General features: G+C 39.4%; 1 protein-coding gene across 9 annotated transcripts in view; it reads left to right on the forward strand.

Annotated features, from left to right (window-relative positions):
• TMEM182 (transmembrane protein 182) overlaps positions 1 to 20,045 on the forward strand; it is a 106,904-nt gene that overhangs the window by 76,203 nt on the left and 10,656 nt on the right. For 6 of the 9 annotated variants that reach the window (NM_001321343.2, NM_001321344.2, NM_001321345.2 and 3 more), the window contains one exon: positions 1,611 to 4,542. The exons of the other annotated variants lie outside the window; for them this stretch is intronic. In NM_001321343.2, the coding sequence (NP_001308272.2) occupies positions 1,611 to 1,831 (221 nt within the window). In that variant the 3' untranslated portion in view covers positions 1,832 to 4,542. Of the gene's footprint in view, positions 1 to 1,610; positions 4,543 to 20,045 lie in introns of those variants that run through there. 9 annotated transcript variants of the gene reach the window in all.

A 20,045-nucleotide genomic window follows, 5' to 3' on the forward strand; every position in this document is an offset into this window, starting at 1 on the left:
CTTCATTGCTCTGTAGCTTGTGTCATGATTACAAGGAAGTTTAAACTCCGATACTGACACACCACAACATATTTATGAGCCCTTCTTCTTTTGTGTTTACTTTTCAAGATTCTTTATGAAATTGATGGCCCAGGAGAGAGAGGGCATCCTAAATGCTGTAGGACCACAATTAACGTGAGAAATGTAATTGATGACTGGGCTCTTAAAAGCTACTCTCTGCCAATATGCCTCAGTCTCTGCTCCTAGTCTCAGACTTGCATTTAGCTTTCAGACATTCTAGCAATTAGACTATGGAGATTTTATACCTAACAGTTCAACTCATTAATTCAATGAGTGTAATAGATCCTTGGCATGTTTGGATTGAAATTTTGGACAAATAACAAGTGCTCTCAAGTAGATTTTGCTTTAGGACAAATTTGAATCCATCAGGCTGTGTGTGCGGTTTGTGTATGGAGCCTGTTGCTTACTGGTGACTCTGCCCAGCGGACCCTGGAGCCTGCTGCTCAGCGTAGTGGCATTGTTTCCTTCTGGCAATTACGGTAACAGTTACATGGGAAAGGACATGCTTAGTGGTATTCTCCAGTTTCAGGATTCACAGAGCTTTTCTGTCACTTGTTAAGGTCATGGGTCCAAAACTGTAATACTTCATCTAATTCCAAGAGTGTTTGGAACCAGTGGATTACAGTTACGTTGTAATTGTTGCTAAATTGGGATGTTGCCCTCTAGTTAGTGGTTAGGCATTTGTTATTTCCCTCCCTCTGTCCCTCCTTCCTTCCTTCCTCCCTTCCTCCCTTCCTTCATTCTCTCTCTTTCTTTTTTTCTTTCATTTAATATGGCTGTTGATCTCTAATCCATGATTTTATATTACACAAAATCTTTTATCATCAATCTTCCTCCCTCATTTATTCAAGACAATGTTTTCTCTATGCTGTAATCAATCTTTAGTGTGTATATATATATATATATATTTAGATTCTGAAGAATCACGTATATTCTTTTATGTTTGTTCAGTGTTTTCATCTCCGTTCTTGTCTAGTGCTTACTTTGGTTTCTATTTGTATAACCATATTTAATTGCAGCATTAGTTAGCTGGGTTATAATAGTATAACAAGAGTCAGAAAGACCCGGGCTGAAAATCAGCTCTGAAAACCACTGTCTGTGTCTGTGTATATCTAAAACCAGGTGGTAAGTGTACCTATTTCAATGTTTATTCTATGTATTGAAAGAAATAACATAGTATAGTGCTCATCCCAAACCATTTGTGCAGTAAAAAAGAAAAAAAAAAGTTAGAATATAAATTCTACAAGTGCTGAGATATTCACTAATGTTCACAAGCACTTACTACAGTCCTTGGCACCCAGGAAACACTCAATAAATACCTGTCAGTGATTGCTGTTCTTAGGCTACTATAGCCCTCCTCTCAATGCTTTGAAGATGAAAGATAAAAGAAATATCTATAAAGTACATAATAAAAGGTCTGACGTAGAGTATTTGATTTTGCTAGAAATGTATTTGCAGGAGCTTGTCATCCGGTCAATGATTGGTTTAGATAGCGTTCTTGAGAAAACATCTTCAGAAAGGCTAACAGTCTTCTGTTTCATCCTTCTCAGGCATCCTATTTTCATTGGTGGTGATGCTGTATGTCATCTGGGTCCAGGCAGTGGCTGACATGGAAAGCTACCGAAACATGAAAATGAAGGACTGCCTGGATTTCACCCCTTCTGTTCTGTATGGCTGGTCATTTTTCCTGGCCCCAGCTGGGATATTTTTTTCTTTGCTAGCTGGATTACTATTTCTGGTTGTTGGATGGCATATTCAGATACATCACTAAATCAACTGTTGCCACAAGTATTTTCTTGAGAGATTTTAAAACAAGGAATACTTTTTTTCCATTTTGTTTCATTGATCCCAGCATAAAGTTAGTAGATATAACTTTTTAGTTGCTATTCAAATTAATCATTTTACTAAAATTTTCTTCAGTAAGAAGGTCCTAGAATCTCTCCAGACACCAGCAAGCCTCTATCTTGTCTAAGTGCTGTCAAGGACCTAGTTCTTTAGGGAATAGGTAAACAGGTCTCCCTTTCATTGAACATGTTAGAGTTCATGCAGGTCGCAAAGGCCTGATAATAGCTTAATACCATGACATGGGGAAAATCTCGATAGATTTGGCTTAAAGTCTCCTTGGCATTCACTTCTGCTAATTAAAAAAAATCCTTGAAGAATAATTAAGAATGGGCAAGGTTGTCAGAGAATTTATTTTGTTTCTTGCCCACACAGATAATATCCACATACACATTCACTGGCTCTTGTGAGCAAATGAATTTAAAAATAGACAGCAGTTGTTCTAATTAGTGGGAGCCATGTACTCACCAGTTAAAATGGGCCACAACAAACAAGACTGAGAGCATGTACTTATCTTGCTTTTTCACCAACAGTGGTTTGGTTACCTAGTTTTATTCACTTAATTGTGCATGCTTACATAAACTTTAAACTACATTTAAAACTAGCAAATCTGCATACCAAATTATGTATAACGTAGATTGAATTTTTATGAACTTAAAGTGAGTTAATTGTATAATGTAATATTGTTTAAAATATGTAAAAACCAAGCATTTCCGCTTGGTCCATAATTCTATTTGATATTTTAAAATTCTCATTTAAAAATTATATTGCTATCATTCAGCATGTGAAAATTTATTGATAAAATGTGATTTTAATATTTTTTAGATATAAACTTTCAACGTACTTCCATATGAGGATTATAATAGCCCTGCTTTATTAAAGACCATAAAATATTAACTTTCCCCAAGATGTTATGGGTTCCAGTTCTTCTGATCATTTGATTCCTTTAATTACTGTCCCTCAATTTCTTCATCTTTACAATAGATATATTAACATTTACAGATCGACTATTTCCTTTAACCTCCTAGAAGAAAGTTTTTGTGGGGAAAGATGATTCTGTATTATTCAGTAGCATAGACATTTTGCATATCAAAGATGTTCATTTGGCACTAATGTTGATTGAAATCAAATCCATCTGAGATGCCTAGCTCGTATTTGCATTCTGGAAGCCTCCATCGCAGGGGAGCTCGGCAGGGTATGTGAGCTTTGTTGGAGGTGCGGTGTTTCATTCTGCAGCTGTTGTGAGGACAGAGAGGCATGGCCCACAGGCAAAAAAAGTCACCACCCAGAAGATGCTCTGGGATAGAGGAACTGCTCCTTTTCATCAGCTCTTCCAATGCCGTGGGAGAGGTGATCCCAGTCTTCTCTGTACATCTTGTGCTTTTCCATTAAGACTTGTTCCAGTGGGAAGGAGCTTTGGAAAAATTGCAAAGGTCTGAATCTTCAGGGCATTTTCATGACAGGACTTGCCAATAATAATAATAATAATAATAATAATAATAATAATAAAGCTCCAGAGGCCTAACTGGTTTCTCAAGTCATTTCAGTGATATCATTGAAACGTTTTTGTGGTACTTCCCTTTGTCTTTCACTGTTTCATTTTTATATTGCTTCATTTACTTCTTTGCTTTTGGCTTTGTTATTAGAAAAAATAATTATGAGGTCTGTTGTGCATGTTGACTGTGATATTAAGTTATGGCATGCCATTAAGTTTTCCAGACGATGTTGGATGTATCTGATTAGTTCATGTCATCTGTAAATACAATTCTTTTTTGTAGTACTTTGGAATGGAGCCTTTTTCTGGTGTACTGTATGCCATTTAAGTTTCACATACAAGCTGCTTTCGGCAAAGGCTTGAATATTTATAAATTTCAGATGGTTATCCTCACTTTATAGTACACTTAAGTGGCTACCATATATTTTTTATATGACAATTGGCTGAATAGCTGATGTGTATGACACTTTTACACAGATTTGCACTTTGGAACTATTTTATAGTTGTAATGCATCAATCAAATACATTTCAAGCACATTTCTTGATCAATTTACCAGCAACCCTCTGAAGGAATGAAGGAGAGTTGTGATTGCTATGTCAATGAGTGAAATATACTTAAAAATGGCAGAGTTATATAGTACATTATTGTAGCAACCTTATATCTGATTTGAGATACTGTGTTGCCAAATGTCCATGTTATGTTTATTTCTCTATTGGTTGTATTTATTAATTTTTAGAAGCCTTTAAACTGTGTTAGAATCTTTTTGAAAAATGTTGATTTTGCATCATAAAGTTTCAATTTATCAAGGATATCTTTTCAGTTACACTTTTAGAAAGAGTGAATAAAAAGGGCAGTGAGTTATGCTCTTGGACTTGGTGAAAGCTATCATCTCTCCATATTGTATTTGTTCAGCTGGTTTAATTCACTCAGGTGGATGATTGCACATACATTGGAATTGGCTGGAGAGACTACACAGAGAAGTTTAATGATCGTGTACAATTTGAGGGTTGATGGTAGGGCTTTCTAAAAAAAGTAATATCAAGTGTGTTGTTAGTATTCATTTAGTCATTTTTATTACTAATCTATAAATATATTTATTAAATTTGAAGATTAAATGGAATTATAAAGGAATATATTGGAGGAAGTGTCAGTGTTGGTAATTATTCATCTATTTATCTGTCTATCATCAATATATATGGGTGCATGTCTGTGTATATTTGTGTGTATGTAAGTGTGCATGTGTATTATATGTTTGGGTAGAAAGAGATACATTGAATGGTATAAATCAATATATTTGAGCTAAGCAAGTTAAAAAAAAATCAGTTATCTTTGGGAACAGCAATCTATTATTGTTGTTTCCCTGAGTGCCACTTTAACTGTTTCACTCAATGGATGGTGGTTTATTCAGTTCAACACGTAATTTGATTTCTATTTTCTTAAAAGTAACCATGTTGGACTTACAAAGAGACTTAGAATGTCAGAGGTGTTAGGCAGATATTGGATACCAGTAAAATTGGCTGGATATGTCTGAAGGTCGGTGGAATTGTGAGAAAGACCAATGGTGATGGGGTTACATTGAAGAAAATATAAGATGAGCTAAATCAAAACCAGATTTGATTTTTTTGGGACTCCACCAGAAGTGGAAACTCATAAACAAGAGATGAAACAGAAAACTACATTTTTATTGATTGTATGAAGGAGTTAAATATATGGAGACATTTCCTCAGTGATGATCAAGGGTAGGTGGGGAAATTCCAATAAGAATGTAGGATGACAATACCTTAGATATGTTGAAAACCAAGGAGGATGGGGATATAGTATCTTTCGTATTATAATAAGCATAAAGTTAGCAAAGGGACATTTAATTTGGTTAGCAGGGAAGATAGGAAAGAAAGAAAGGAAAACATCCAGTTACAGATTAGACTTTCTGAACTAACTCCCCAGAGCAAGCGTTAGGGGCTCCATCTTCAGATCAGTGAGACAAACCTGGACTAGCCTGTGAGAGTGGGATGTATCAGAGACAGCAAGTCTGGAACGACAATGGAGATGCCCGAGGAGACCCACTCAGCTTTTTGAAAGATCATCCCTCCTGCCCATAGGATTCAGCTATGACTGAAAAATTGAAGGGGCAATTGGACGGTTGAACTTTATAAATGATCTGCTTCTAGATGTAAGGAGTCATATGATATATCTAATAATTCTATTTAATCCTATCTATCTATCTATCTATCTATCTATCTATCTATCTCTAAATTATACAGTTAAATTGATCTCTATATAGATAGATACTCTCTATATCTATACATTGTCTATATAAGTAACTAAATTAGAACGATTTGGATTCTTCAAATGATGATGGTTTTCCTAGTTCACTGAAATGACAGGATAGTTTACCTTGGGTTTATGAAATAAGCATGGTTGAAATAATTGGCATCCTGCACGGATTCTGAATATTTTGCAGATAATTTAGGGAAGGAGAGGGCTCACTGGGATAAAATAAGTGCACATGCAGCAAAGATTTTAATATTCTCATTCTTCTGGACGTCTAGGAATTACAGTGACATAATTCACTGAAAATGTAGGATAGTTGTCTTTTTATATGACAATTCATTTTTTCTTTTCTTAGCATTTTTCCCCATTAATTCTAAAGAGAGACTGCCACTGTTAAAAAATTTACCAATGCTTACACAGAGTATTGATGTTAAAAACGACCTAAATGAACAGATATTTAAACAACAAATACTACCAAAGAGTGATGTGTAAAGAATAATGCTTATTGCCTCATATTTTGGTCTAGCATATATAAAGGCACTGTAAGAAAATTTGATGTATTGTTTTCATCCCCCGAAAATTCAAGGGAAATTTTTCTCAAAAACTTTTGTGGGTATATGTAACTATCTGAAAGATATGTGAAGTAGAAAGTCGGATTAACTTGTCTATGTGTACCTATAACCACATACCTAGGCATGTATATGTATATATATGTCTGTGGTATGCATGTATATGTATATATGGATTTGGATAAAACTATATACATATGTCTGTGTGTATGCATATAGAATACATACACGCCTGCCTCTATATGTCTGATTACACATGCATGCACACATATATACACATAATGTATGTGTATGTATGTAAAGTGTATACATGAACGCGTAGAAGAAATGCTTACATTATATTATATGTGCATATACACATATCCAAATATCTGTCTCAGGCATTCCCAAACTCTTAAGTTTTGCTGGAAAGGAGGGCATATTTTATCTTTCTGCTATTGCATGCTTGTTGCACTGGTGAGTGAGGATTGGGGCAAATAACAAGTGCTACCACGGCCTTCTCTTCCTTGGATCCAGAGCATATGTGGTGTTGCATATAAAATGAACTAGTCATGTTTTCCCTGTAAATGCCAGTGGCCATGATTGTGTCTTTGAACATGTTCTGCACACCAACTGGCAATCGATAGCTGTCAATAAGTATTTATTTAATAGTTATAAACCTTTTTGGGCAAAATGATTTCTTTCTAAAGCCACATGTCTTAGTTGGTTTATTCTTTCAATCCCCTTGCAGAAGATTATACTGATTGGTTCCCTGTCAGCTCCTTATTTGGGTCCCCTGAAGGGAGGTTCCTAGGGTGTTGTGTGGAATGTGATGAGCCTGTGTTTGGAGAGTTGATTTCAAGTCCTTGATTTTAAACTTGCAATTTGCCAAATCATTCTACTTCACTTTGACTCAGTTTCTTCATCTGAGACGTTCACTAGTTTATTCAACAAACAGTAATTGCATACATGCTACTAGTCACAAATGGCACTAGATGTTAGATACATATTATTGAACAAAACAGACATGGTCTTTTTATTCTTCAAACTGAGATTCAAGCAAGGGATATAGAGAACAGACAAGTGAGAAAAATAACTTTGACTTTATCAATTGTGATAAATCCTCTAGGGAAAAATGCATAACAGACATAATGAGAGATGAAACTATGCTTGTTGGATAATAAGAGAAATTCTTTCTAAGGCAAGAATTCTGACTATTCCAATACACAAAATACATAAAGGGGCTAACTGGGTAAAAAGTGGAAACAAAAGGATTTCAGGGAGAAGGGAGCAAGTGGAAGAAAACGCCTGAAAATGGAAAAGAACTTGACATGTTCTAGAAATGGCAAGGCAGCTTGTGTGGCTGGCCATTGAAGCAGGGAGCTTTGTGATGAAGTTGGAGAAGCAGGAAGGGTCCAATCATTCCAAGCCCTTGCCTCATTATAGTATATTTTGAGGGAAAAAGTTGAAAGGACTTGCTGTGAATTAGATAGAGGTTGAGGACAGGGAAGAAGCAAGAATGACTTCAGATTTCTAGCTTAAGCAAATGGGTGGATGGAGAAGGCAGGAGGAGAACAGGCTTGAGGGAGAGAGGAATCCATGGTTCATGTTCATGGTGTCATGTTTGAGATGCCTGTGACATGTCCACGTTTCAACCCTGATAAAGAGTTGGATTTCTCAAAGTCCTGCAGTGGCCACAGGACACTGTAGAAGCTGACCCCTTTACTTACTTCTCCAACTCATTTACTACTTTTCCCCACTCTCATTCTGTGCCTCAGACATGCCAAGGTGCACTCCAGACTCAACACCCTTGAACATAATGTGTAGCCTGCATTATGTTTTCATAATTGAAATCTTTAAAATTAGGCTACTATGACCTGCACAAGTGCATACAGTGGTTGATATAGTTTGAGTATTTGTCCCCACATCTCATGTTGAATTATAATCCCCAATGTTGGAGGTGGGGCTTTGTGGGAGGTGTTTGGGTCATGAGGGTGGATCCTTCATGGCTTGGTGCTATCCTTGCCATACTGAGTGAGTTCTCACGAGTTGTAATTGATTAAGTGTGTGACACTTCCTCCCCTACTCTCTCTTGCTCCCGCTCAGCCATGTGACATGCCTGCTCCCTCTTTGCCTTCTGCCATGAGTAAAAGTTCCCTGAGTTCTCCCTAGAAGCTGAGCAAATGCCAGTGCCATGCTTCCTTTTCAGCTTACAGAACCGTGAGGCAATTAAATCTCTTTTCTTTATAAATCACACAGTCTCGGGTATTTCTTTATAGCAGGGCAAGAGTGGCCTAATACAGTGGTCCCCACTCAGTCTCTCATCTCCTTTAGGCCTTTGTTCAAAAGTTACCTTCTCAGGAAAACATCCCATGATCATCCTATTTAAAAATGGAGGCTGAGGCGGGCAGATCACGTGGTCAGGAGATCGAGACCACCCTGGCTAACATGGTGAAATCCCGTCTCTACTAAAAATACAAAAAATTAGCCGGGCATGGTGGCAGGTGCCTGTAGTCCCAGCTACTCGGGAGGCTGAGGAAGGAGAATGGCGTGAACCCGGGAGGCAGAGCTTGCAGTGAGCTGAGATCGCTCCACTGCACTCCAACCTGGGCAACAGAGCAAGACTCTGTCTCAAAAAAAAAAAAAAAATGCAACACTTAAGATAAATGTTTAAGGAGATGGATGTCCCTATTACCCTGATATGATAATTGCACATTGTATACAGGCATCAAAACATCAAGTATACCCCCAAAATATGTGCAACTATTATATGTCAATAAATATTTAAAAACAGTTAGATTAGGCAGTTAGTTCAGAGGAGCAATGTGGGCCTGGAGATGCACACTGGGGAGTCACAACATGTAAAGCCATGGCAAAGATTAGACCCCTGAGGAGGAGAGCTAGAGAGGTTGATCCTCTGTGCACTGGAGAACCAAACAGGGGAGGACAAGTGGAAGACTGAGCCTGCGGAGAAGTCAGAAATAGACAATGAAGAATTAATGGGAAGTGTGATATCGAGGAAACCCAGAAGGACGATGTTTCGAGAAGCGACTGAGTTTTTATATTTACCAGTGGTGCTGAGGGGATGAGTAGGACAAGGAAAAAAGGTGATCTTTGGAGATGGAAGTGTGGAGGTGGTTGGTGATGGTGACTACAGAAGTTTTGGTATAGGGGCGGGAATGGAAGCCAGATGTGATTGATTTAAAGAGTTAACAGGAGGTAAGAGAGTGGAAAAGGTTGTTGTGCAACTTCTAAAAGCTGACTGTCTTTGAAGCAGAGCAGAACCATGGAAATGGGTAGAAGGGAATGTGGGATCAAAATAAAGCATTCTGAAGACCCGGGAAAACAAGGGCAAGTGTGTGTACTTTGAAAATTAGTTTGTACAAAGAAGTGGATGGTGTGAAGAGGGCCATGAAAAAAGTGGAGTGTGGAGCCTGCCAGCGTATGTGTGGAGGGACGGTGGTGCCTGCCTCACCTCAAAGTAAACACCCAGAATGTAGAAAGCACTCAGTACATTCAATTTGACAAAAGAAGAAGAAGAAAGAAGAAAGAAAGAAGAAAGAAGAAGAACCAACCAACCAAACAAAATCCCTATTGTTCACTTAGTATGTACTAGTTCCAGCATCAGGTGTTGGGGTCACCTTTTACAAGTCAAATCAATAGTCTTCACTGCTCATCCTCAAAGCACAAAAATAAGATCCCCAAGAGTCAACACAGTTGAAAGGTAGGTCTTTTAACACTGTGAGCAGTAATAGAAAATGACAGCATCTCAGTCTGTCAGGATGTTAGTGTACATCTGGAAGGTTCCATCTTGCTAGTGAAGTTAAATGTTCCCCTGACTTGATTTTCTAGATAAGCATTTGAGAAGGAAATTTCTTATGTATTTCTGATGGCATTTGGTTTTTAATATCTTAGAAAAAATGTGAAGTGTATTTCAATAGCATGTTTTCAACACTAGATTCAAGAGTTCTTCCTTTATTTTTTATTTTTATTTTTTTGATGGAGTCTCAAACTGTCGCCTGGGCTGGAGTGCTGTGGTGTGATCTCAGCTGACTGCAACCTCCGCCTCCTGGGTTCAAGCGATTCTCCTGCCTCAGCTCCCAAGTAGCTGGGATTACAGGTGCCCACCACCAAGCCCAGCTAATTTTTTGTATTTTTTTAGTAGAGACGGGGTTTCACTATGTTGGCCAGGCTGGTCTCAAACTCCTGACCTCGTGATCCGCCCACCTCGGCCTCCCAAAGTGCTAGGATTACAGGCGTGAGCCACCATGCCCAGCCAGTTCTGTCCTTCTTAAACAGTTCCATTCACTGAAAGAAAATAGCACATAATGCATCCTCAAGGAGATATGCTTACATTAACTTTTAAAGGAGATATGTAAACCCATTCAAATTAGGCCTTAGAAAGAAAGTGAAGCAATGTCAATAGCACATTCTCAACATTAGTTTAGTTTTGTTCCTATCTGGAAGAATCCCAGTGACTGTCCAAAAGCCATCCACTGGTTTAATGGGAATACTCAGCTTTCTGTCTAGGGCCAATCAAAAGGCGTATCATAATATTGCACTAGAACATTGGACTTGTTAATAGATTCCACATCATTGAAGTTATCCATTTTTGAGCCAGAAAAATGCTTTAAGATAAAAGGAAAGTGCAGCTTATGAAAGAGAGGTGTGAAATAAAAGATTCAGAAAGAGGGTTTTAAAAATGGGCTCCATTTGGACTCTAAACAATTCCTGTATTGAATTTTTTATTAATAAAAGCAGGGGATTTGATTCTTAAGAGGTGACGTGGGAGAAGAGTTGTTTTTACCACTGTCTATGCCTGGCTCAGTTGACTACATCACAGTAAATGACTATATCTTATGCTGATAGATACTGCGGTTTTTGACTGATCTTCAGCATCTTCACCAGTTTATAATAGTTAATAATTTTACCTGTCCTCAGTGATTGTTTGTGGAGAGCAACATTTTGACATGGTTTGGATTTGTGTCCCTGCCCAAATCTCATGTCGAATCATAATCCCCAGTGTTGGAGGAGGAGTCTGGTGGGAGGTGTTTGGACCATGGGAGTGGACTTCCTCTTTGCTGTTCTCATGATAGTGAGTTCTCTCAAGATTTGGTTGTTTAAAAGTGTGAAGCACCTTCCCCTTCTCTCTCTTCCTTCTGCTCTGGCCATGTAAGATGTACCTGCTGGCCAGGCGTGGTGGCTCATGCCTGTAATCCCAGCACTTTGGGAGGCCGAGGTGGGCAGATCACAAGGTCAGGAAATTGAGACCATCCTGGCCAACACAGTGAAACCCCGTGTCTACTAAAATACAAAAAAAATTAGCCAGGCATGGTGGTGGTGTGCATTTGTAGTCCAGCTATTCAGGAGGCTGAGGCAGGGGAATCACTTGAACCCAGGAGGTGGAGGTTGCAGTGAGCCGAGATCACACCACAGCACTCCAGCCTGGTGACAGAGCAAGACTCTGTCTGAAAACAAAACAAAACAAAAAAAAGATGTATCTGCTTCCCTTTCGCCTTCTGCCATGATTGAAAGTTTCCTGAGGCTTCCCTAGCCATGCTTCCTGTGCAGCATGAGGAACTGTGAGCCAGTTAATCCTCTTTTCTTTATCAATTTCCCAGTCTCAGGTATTTCTTTATAGGAGTGTGAGAAGGGACTAATACAAATATATTCCAAATTGCTTTCATAACATTGTTGCTTTATAACATGTTATTTTATGTTGTTTTAATCATGAAATGATGAGCCTCAAAGGCAAAAACTTCAGTACCTATCAAGCTTTTAGAAAAACACATGGTATCTAAGGTCTGTTATTGCCTATTGGAAGACACAACAGGACAGAAAAAGAAGATGTTAAAGAAATATTTTAATTTTCCAAGCTGTTTTTCTTTACAAAAGTAATAAATATTAATTAGACAATTCAAAAAGGACAAAGGAACAGAAAGGAAGAAATAACTTTTACCTACAATTCTGCCCTCAGAGTCAAGTGGTGTTAATAGTTCTAATAGGTAACAAGAAGCAGGTAATACAGAGCAAAGTTTCCTAAACTTAGTTTTTTACCTAATTGTATTGTTTTAACATTTTTCGTGTCTTTAAATATTTCCAGTATTATTGAGACTCTTTGAATCATAGCCAAGCCAGCATAGCTCAGACACACAGACATGGTCAGTGTTTGAGTCTTTGGCCTTAGAAACCCCATTGAGTTTTTGAGTCACTTTGCTGTTTTCCAGGTGACCACATTTAAAAGCAGAGGAATAATAGTGACTATCCACCCAACATTATTGTGAGTTAAATAATTGTGGACAATTGAAATCCTGTAAGAACAATAAAATGTGCTCCCTAAATTGCCACTGAATGAAAGTCAAGAGAAGATTCACAGTGGCAGTGATTGTGATGTTTGAGCATTTCTACATGCCAGTAGCTTCTCTTACTTTGTCTGGTGGTGTCAGTCCCATTGGAGAGTTGAGGCAACTGAAACTAAAAGAATAGGTAACTCGCCCAAGGCCACACAGCCAAAAAGCACTGGAGGTGAACTTCCAGGTGTTTAGTCTCCATGTTCTCTCCATGATACCAACTGGTTTCTTCCTAATAGCAGAGAGAAGATGTTTTGAACACTTTTGAATGAAAAATGGAACAATTGCTTGAGGCTACATGTTGAGTTAGTTGCATGAATTAACAACTGAATTGCATAAAGTCAGCCACTTTTAAATTCTCCACTGGCCACTCACTGAGATTTAGTGCTTGGGCTTGAACCATTAAATGGGACCATGGGTATCTCATGGTGCCATGACTCACAACATTTATGAGGGCATCCAGGTATGTGGTAGAGAGAAAACTTCTGCATCTGAAGCCTACCCGGATGCCCTCGGGTAAGTTACTGAGGCTCTTCACTTTCCTCCAAGCAAAATAACTGGGCAAAGCCCCAGTGCAGCGTACAGTCTGCAGCTGGCTTTTTTTTTTTTTTTTTTTTAACAAAGTTCCCAATCGATGTTCATTAGAGCGGCGGTGGGGGCTATTGTGGTTTAGAGAGAGGTCCCTGGAGAGTGAGAGATGGCCAGGGCTGGGATCCGACTTCCACCATTGGCAGTGTGGTGTTGAGCAATTGTGTAAAGTTCCAATGCCTCAGTCTCCTCATCCATGAAGCAGGGACAATGAAAATGTTCATGCAACGTGTTTGCAAAAGTATCTGACACAAAATAAGTGCTCAATAAATGTTATCAACTATTACTATTATTATTATTCTAGTTTTGAATTGCCGTACCATGTTTTTAGGGCTTCTGATCCAAGATTTCTGACCTTACTATTCCGAAGTCACTGGATACAGTTTCTTCAGCACTAATTATATTTTCCTCATTCCTCCACTCATCTTAGGGACTTCTTACATCTTACTGCTTCTGCATGTCTAAGATTGCCCAGGAGCATGATCAGAGCTGGGAAAACTTGAGGGAGCGGGTCGCAATAGTAATATCATGTCCCTTTTGGAGAAAACAGACCACCAAAGAAGATAAATCATCCCACAAGTTACATGGATGTGTTTCTAAATGTTGGCCAATCAAAAAAAAAATCCTAATTCAATTAGTGCCTTTTTAAAGTGAGGAATACACTTTAATACATTTAAAAAGGAAAACACAGCAAGATAATGAAAAACTGCTCCCCTGCACCTCAGCTTTACTTGCCCTTGTCTTATGTGGCTTCCCTTTGAAACGGGTCGCTCTCATCACAGCACGTAGCATGCTGCCAGCCGCCACATGGCTATTTGGCAGCTATTTATAGCACAGATCATGTTACAGTGCAGCATCGCCAGGCACCATGTTCCAACTGGTGTACCACTGAGCTAAACAGAAATCAACTCAGGTCTTCTCTGAAAATCAATGTGAAGCCATGATCTCTGTAATCCTCCTTCTCTTTTCTTTTTGTATAATTTCTCTTTGGAAGTGTCTTGCTCACAATGCAGGGGAAATTCAGTTGGATTGTCAGTCTGATATACTATACTACCAGATATGTTAGATTTTCCTTCCTTCTACATTTGCTTAAGAGCTTATAAACCACAGTGAATAAAAAGTGCTAAGTGGAATGAAATGACCTGTCAAGGGTAGATGCAGCATTTGCGAACAACTTCAAAAATGTTCTCAGCTTCACGGCCCTCCAGTCTGGGTTTCTGTGCTATCTCGAAGCTTCCTTTTCCTTTGCTGTCTTCTCCTTTCTTTCACTCCTTTCAAATCGAAGTACTTCGTGCATCACTGATCTTGGAAGACTGTTTCTTGCAAAGAAACAATTTTGCCCCTGCCTAAGCAGCCTATGACAAGATTTGGAGGTGCGGTTGAGTGCTGAGTGTTAGGAAAGCAGTTGTTAACCTCGCCTTCATTACCCTACACCAGACTGGAATTTCCCAGAATATTCGAGAAAAACAAACAAGCAGCTTCCACAAAGATTTGGCTAATACGTACACTGGATAAAAATGACTTGTGGCTTAGGCCGGGTGTGGTGGCTCACACCTGTAATCCCAGCACTTTGGGATCACCTGAGGTCAGGAGTTCGAGGCCCGCCTGGCCAACATGGTGAAACCCCATCTCTACTAAAAATACAAGAATTTGCCGGGTGTGATTGTGGGCGCCTGTAATCCCAGCTGCTTGGGAGGCTGAGGCAGGAGAATCATCTGAACCTAGGAGGCAAAGGTTGCAGTGAGCCGAGATCGTGCCACTGCACTCCAGCCTGGGCAACAGAGACTCCATCTCATAAATACATAAATATATAAATAAATAAAAAGTGACTTGTGGCTTTAAGTGTAGACCAATAAAAATGTTTCAGAATGTGGCTTGGTTTGGGGACATGGCTCTCTGTAGTTATTAATCAGGGAAGAGAAAACAAATCCCCACTAAATGAGTGGTCAAAGGATGTGAACTGTGTCTCAGGAGATCACATGTAACCGAGTTAACCCCTGTCAGAGCAAACTGATAGAATTGCTAGCACGTAAGGGAAATTGGGCATGGAGACACTGTTTCTACTCAGGGCTGATATGTGTCATAATCTTAGGAAAAATATCACTTACTTTTTTCTGCCTGTGTAATTGAAATAGTGAAATAGAGATTTTGAAGAGCAAGGTCGCCAGCTCAAGTCCCAGGTTGCCACATGATATCTTTGCAAAAAAAGTCATTAGGAAAAATGTTCATGGTTTTGACATCTCTTCTGCTTCTGGTAGGAGATAACCTGTTGGTCGAGATTTACATGGCAGTTAAGGCTTCCAAGTGATGGCCAAGGTGAGGGAAGTGTCTCTGACAGTTTGCCCATGATTTCTGGGGCCCTGGGCTTTTCTCCTAACTTTTCTAGCTGAACCTTCTCTGACCAAGTCTCCACACTAGGCTACCCCACAATAGGAGCTCAGTAGATGTCGGCTAGATGAATGACAGCATGGAGTGAGTGGGTCATGCTGCTGGGAAGTTTTTGCCCAGGGCAGGGTCACTTTTATTGATGCCTTAGAAGCAACTGGAAAATGAAAAATGAAGGAGTAGCATCTAAAAAGACTGTAAGGCTAAACAGTTAACCTGAAATTGCCTAAGAATTGATTTCCAGCAAATAAGGGGTATGAAGAACACCCTGTGAATATGTATATTGAACAAATATTCTGTGGCCCGTTTATGGTTATTTAGAAAAATAAAAGTTGTTCATTTAAGTGGTTGGAACAGAGCGGAAGTTAGCAAATATTCTGGGTTCCATCTTTCTGTTTTAATGCATCCTGATGAGCAAGTTATTTCTTCAGTTCTCCGCATGAGAAGTTTAAGTGGAAGGCTGAGGTTATGGAGTAGCTGGCATTCCCAATCAGGTAGCACCTTTTTGCATCATGTATTTCGACAGTGATGGGCTATACGTGGGCAGAAGGCTTAGGGGACAGTCATGTCACAGACCTGGCTCTTGGTATAGTTTCTAGGGGATAGGTCCCTAGTTTATGCCACAGGATCCATATGCTAACTGCATCAGGGTGGGACACCTGACTGGAGGACAGCCAATCCATTGCCTGTCCAATGACTTATAAGTTATGACCTATAGCCAATGGCTAAAGAAAGGTGGGTTGGGCAGTCAGGTTCTTCTCCCTCTCGCACCTTTCTTTCTCTTTTCGCCCCCATCTCTATCCTAACAGCAATTTATACTGGGAAAATATCAGAAGGTGTTAGAAGACAGAACCCTGAAGGATGTGCCAAGAGTCACCATGGAAAGAGTAGAGATAGTGATGTGCTAGGCATGGGCACAAGGCTTAGGTGACAGAGACCATGAGAAAGTATAGGAGCTTTTGCCAGCAGGTCAGAAAGCCTCCCACACAGAGAGTATAGAGGAGTCCATCGGATAGCAGAGGACTCTGGAATGGTCCAGAGTTTTTTTTGCCATTGGAGCTTTCCTGCCTCTAGTGCCAGGATCCAGGCAGCCTGGGGCTTTATGATTCCTGTTCTTGGCTTTTTGTGAGGCTTTCCCTTCTTGCATCACATATTTTGCTTGACCACTCTCCTCCCCCAATTAAACTGCATTGAAGGTTTCCCCATATTTGGAAACCCAAAGATCCAAACCAAAACAGAAAAGGAAAATTTAGGAGCAGTTTTCCCACAATAGGTTACTGTTCATATTACCGGTAAGAGTGAGAGTTGAAGGGTAAAGGGAAGTGTGTTCGTATTGCTTGTATACCATTAAGGGAATGGAGAAAGCTGTGTTTGTTGAGATGTTAGTGTTCACCCAGTTCTGTCTAAGAGTTTATGTCTTCTGCAGTCTATGTGATTTCTCATTGGCCTGCCATTCCTTGTTATGGTCACAGAGATGTCTTACTGCTTTTGCTGTTTTCATGTGTCTAAATCTTTACCTATTATTTTCAGAACTACAATACTCAGACTTAATGAACAATCAAGTTTTGACAACCACTTCATATAAATTACTATGCTTTCTCTATGGAGTGGAAACTCAACACTTGAGTGAAGAGTTGAATTGCTGGCATCAGGCATTGATAGCTGTGTGAAGTCATGGGGCTTTCAGCACTTGGGTTTTAAGGGTTCTGTGTATAGATATGGTCAAGGCCATGATCCTAGCTCTAATCATGAATTTTGTGGGCTAACATGGGAAGTAAGCTTTATTTACAACACTGGGACTTTGAAAAACTGAATTCCAAGTGCTTTTTTTTTGGCTCTGGATTTTATTTATGTATTTATGTATTTATTTATGTATTTATTTCTGTGGGTACACAGTAGGTATATATATTTATGGGGTACATGAGATGTTCTGATACTGGCATGCAATGTGAAAAGAGCATATCATGGAGAATGGGGTGTCCCTCCCCTCAAGCATTTTATCCTTTGAGGTACAAATAATCCAGTTACACTGTTTAAGTTATTGAAAAATATACAATTAAGTTATTATTGATTATAGTCACCCTATTGTGCTATCATATAGTAGGTCTTGTTCATTCTTTATAACTATTTTTTTTCATACCCATTAACCATCCTCACCTCCACCCTCCCACTACCCTTCCACTACCCTTCCCAGCCTCTGGTAATCATCCTTCTACTCTCTATGTCCATGAGTTCAACTGATTTGATATTTAAATCCCACAAATAAGTGAGAACACGTGATGTTTGTCTTTCTGTGCCTGGCTTATTTCACTTAACATAATGATCCAGTTCCATCCATGTTATTGGAAATGACTGGATCTTATTCTTTTTTATGGCTGAAGAGTACTCCATTGTGTGTATGTCCACCTTTTCTTTATCTGCTCATCTGTTGATGGACACTTAGGTTGCTTCTAAATCTTAGCTACTGTGAACAGTGCTGCAACAAACATAGGAGTGCAGATGTCTCTTCATTACACTGATTTCTGTTCATTTGGGTATACACCCAGCAGTGGGATTGCTGGATCATATGGTAGCTGAATCTCCAAACTGTTCTCCCTAGTCGTTGTACTAATTTGCATTCCCACTGACAGTGGACAAGTGTTCCCTTTTCTCCACAATCCTTGCCAGCATTTGTTATGTATTCTACATTTTAACCAACTAACAAATGAAAGTTTGATACACAAAGGTAAACAGGATCCACCCTGCATACACGACCGATGTGTTAACATGCAGTCATCTTAAAAGAAGAAGAGTGGTGGGCCAGGCATGGTGGTTCATGCCTGTAATCCCAGCACTTTGGGAGGCTGAGGTGGGCAGATCACCTGAGGTTAGGAGTTTAAGACAAGCCTGGCCAACATGGTGAAACCCAGTCTCTACTAAAAATACAAAAATTAGCTCAGTGCGGTGGTACATGCCTGTAGTCCCAGCTACTTGGGAGGCTGAGGCACGAGAATTGCTCAAACCTGGGAGGTGGAGGTTGCAGTGAGCTGAAATCGCACCACTGCACTCCAGCTTGGGCAACAGAGCTAGACTCTGTCTAAAAAAAAAAAAGAAAAAGAAGAGTGATGAAGGATGCCAGATGCAGAACTTCTGGGTCTTGGGATATGCTTCTTAATGGGGGTCTTCACCATGACTTATTGCAAACTTGGGACACCCAACCACCAACTGATGGCAAAGAAGAGCTAGGCATTCTCCTTGTGACAATGTTCTTTCTTTTCATAGGACAAGGCTTACAGTTTCATATGTATTATGTAAAGGTGAATTGTGTATGCCAAGTAGAGAAAACGCAAGAAGACAGTGGGAAATGTTGATATATTTCATATTGCCATGCTCTCATATCCCCATACCTGGCATGACAGAGTGAGAGACGGATAGCCATTCTTGATGGATACAGTGGTCATGTATTTCACTGGATTCTATCCGCCTACATTCTTTATTCCACTATGCCATTTTGTTCAGAATTCAAATGTATTCCAGGGATGTATTTCTGGACTATAAATTAACTCTTTCATTTAAGTAGTTCTCCTCAATATTCCTCTAAATTCTTCCCCTTGAAATTACATCCTACTTTTGGTATTGTTATAGTTATTTTGTTCATTTCTACTGGGATTGTAAATCAACACATACATCACAGTCATTTCACAATTCTCATCGAAAAAGACCTCACTCAGCTTAATAAGGTGCAGTGCCTTGAGTATCATTCTTTGAAGGCCTTTGAAGTGTTTCCTTCCAGGCTTTATTCTTAAAGAACGAAGATACTGGGGCCAGGATGTCTGAGCCAGAGGCAGAATCCTATGCAACTGTGCTCAAGTCCAGCACTTAAATAAAAGCCAGAAGAAGTTGGAACTATTGCAAGCACATTTATAATATCATTTGAGGGACAGCTGGGGTCAGTGCTAAATTTTAAATTATCAGATGCAGGGAGACAACTCTTGCATAACAATAAGCGCAGGCTGTCACATTGAGCAGAAAATAACCATACTTTCACCTTGGAAAATATATTCTAAATAGGACAGTAATTGTTTTCAGAAAGCTATTCAGTGACTTACTTTCTCCCCCACCACACACACACTCAAGAATTGCCCAGGAATAAGGTAAACTTTTTATTATAATTTATACAATGTGGTAATTTTTTGAATAGTTTAGAATTTTTATAGCCTGATAACAGATCTTCCAAATTGCACACAGCCATCCTGCACTGGCAGGGAGACAGGCTTGGATGACCTGCTGGGTCTTTCTCATCTCTAATGTCTGTGAGTCTTTGAAATACATCCCGGAGCTTAATTATGACAGCAGTCTTTATTATTCTGAGCCCCTAATGGCACACTTCATGGGAACAATGCAAAAAGAAAAGAGTCAGTGCCTTTGCCGTGGTTTACACAAAAATTGGAACATGCTATGATTTCAGGGAGGAGCTCCCCTTTCTCAGGCAGGTGGGAGGTTGGAGGAGGAGTGGTGGGTTAGGG

Source organism: Homo sapiens, chromosome 2 (assembly GCF_000001405.40).
Source record: "Homo sapiens chromosome 2, GRCh38.p14 Primary Assembly".
Classification (NCBI taxonomy): Eukaryota; Metazoa; Chordata; class Mammalia; order Primates; family Hominidae; genus Homo; species Homo sapiens.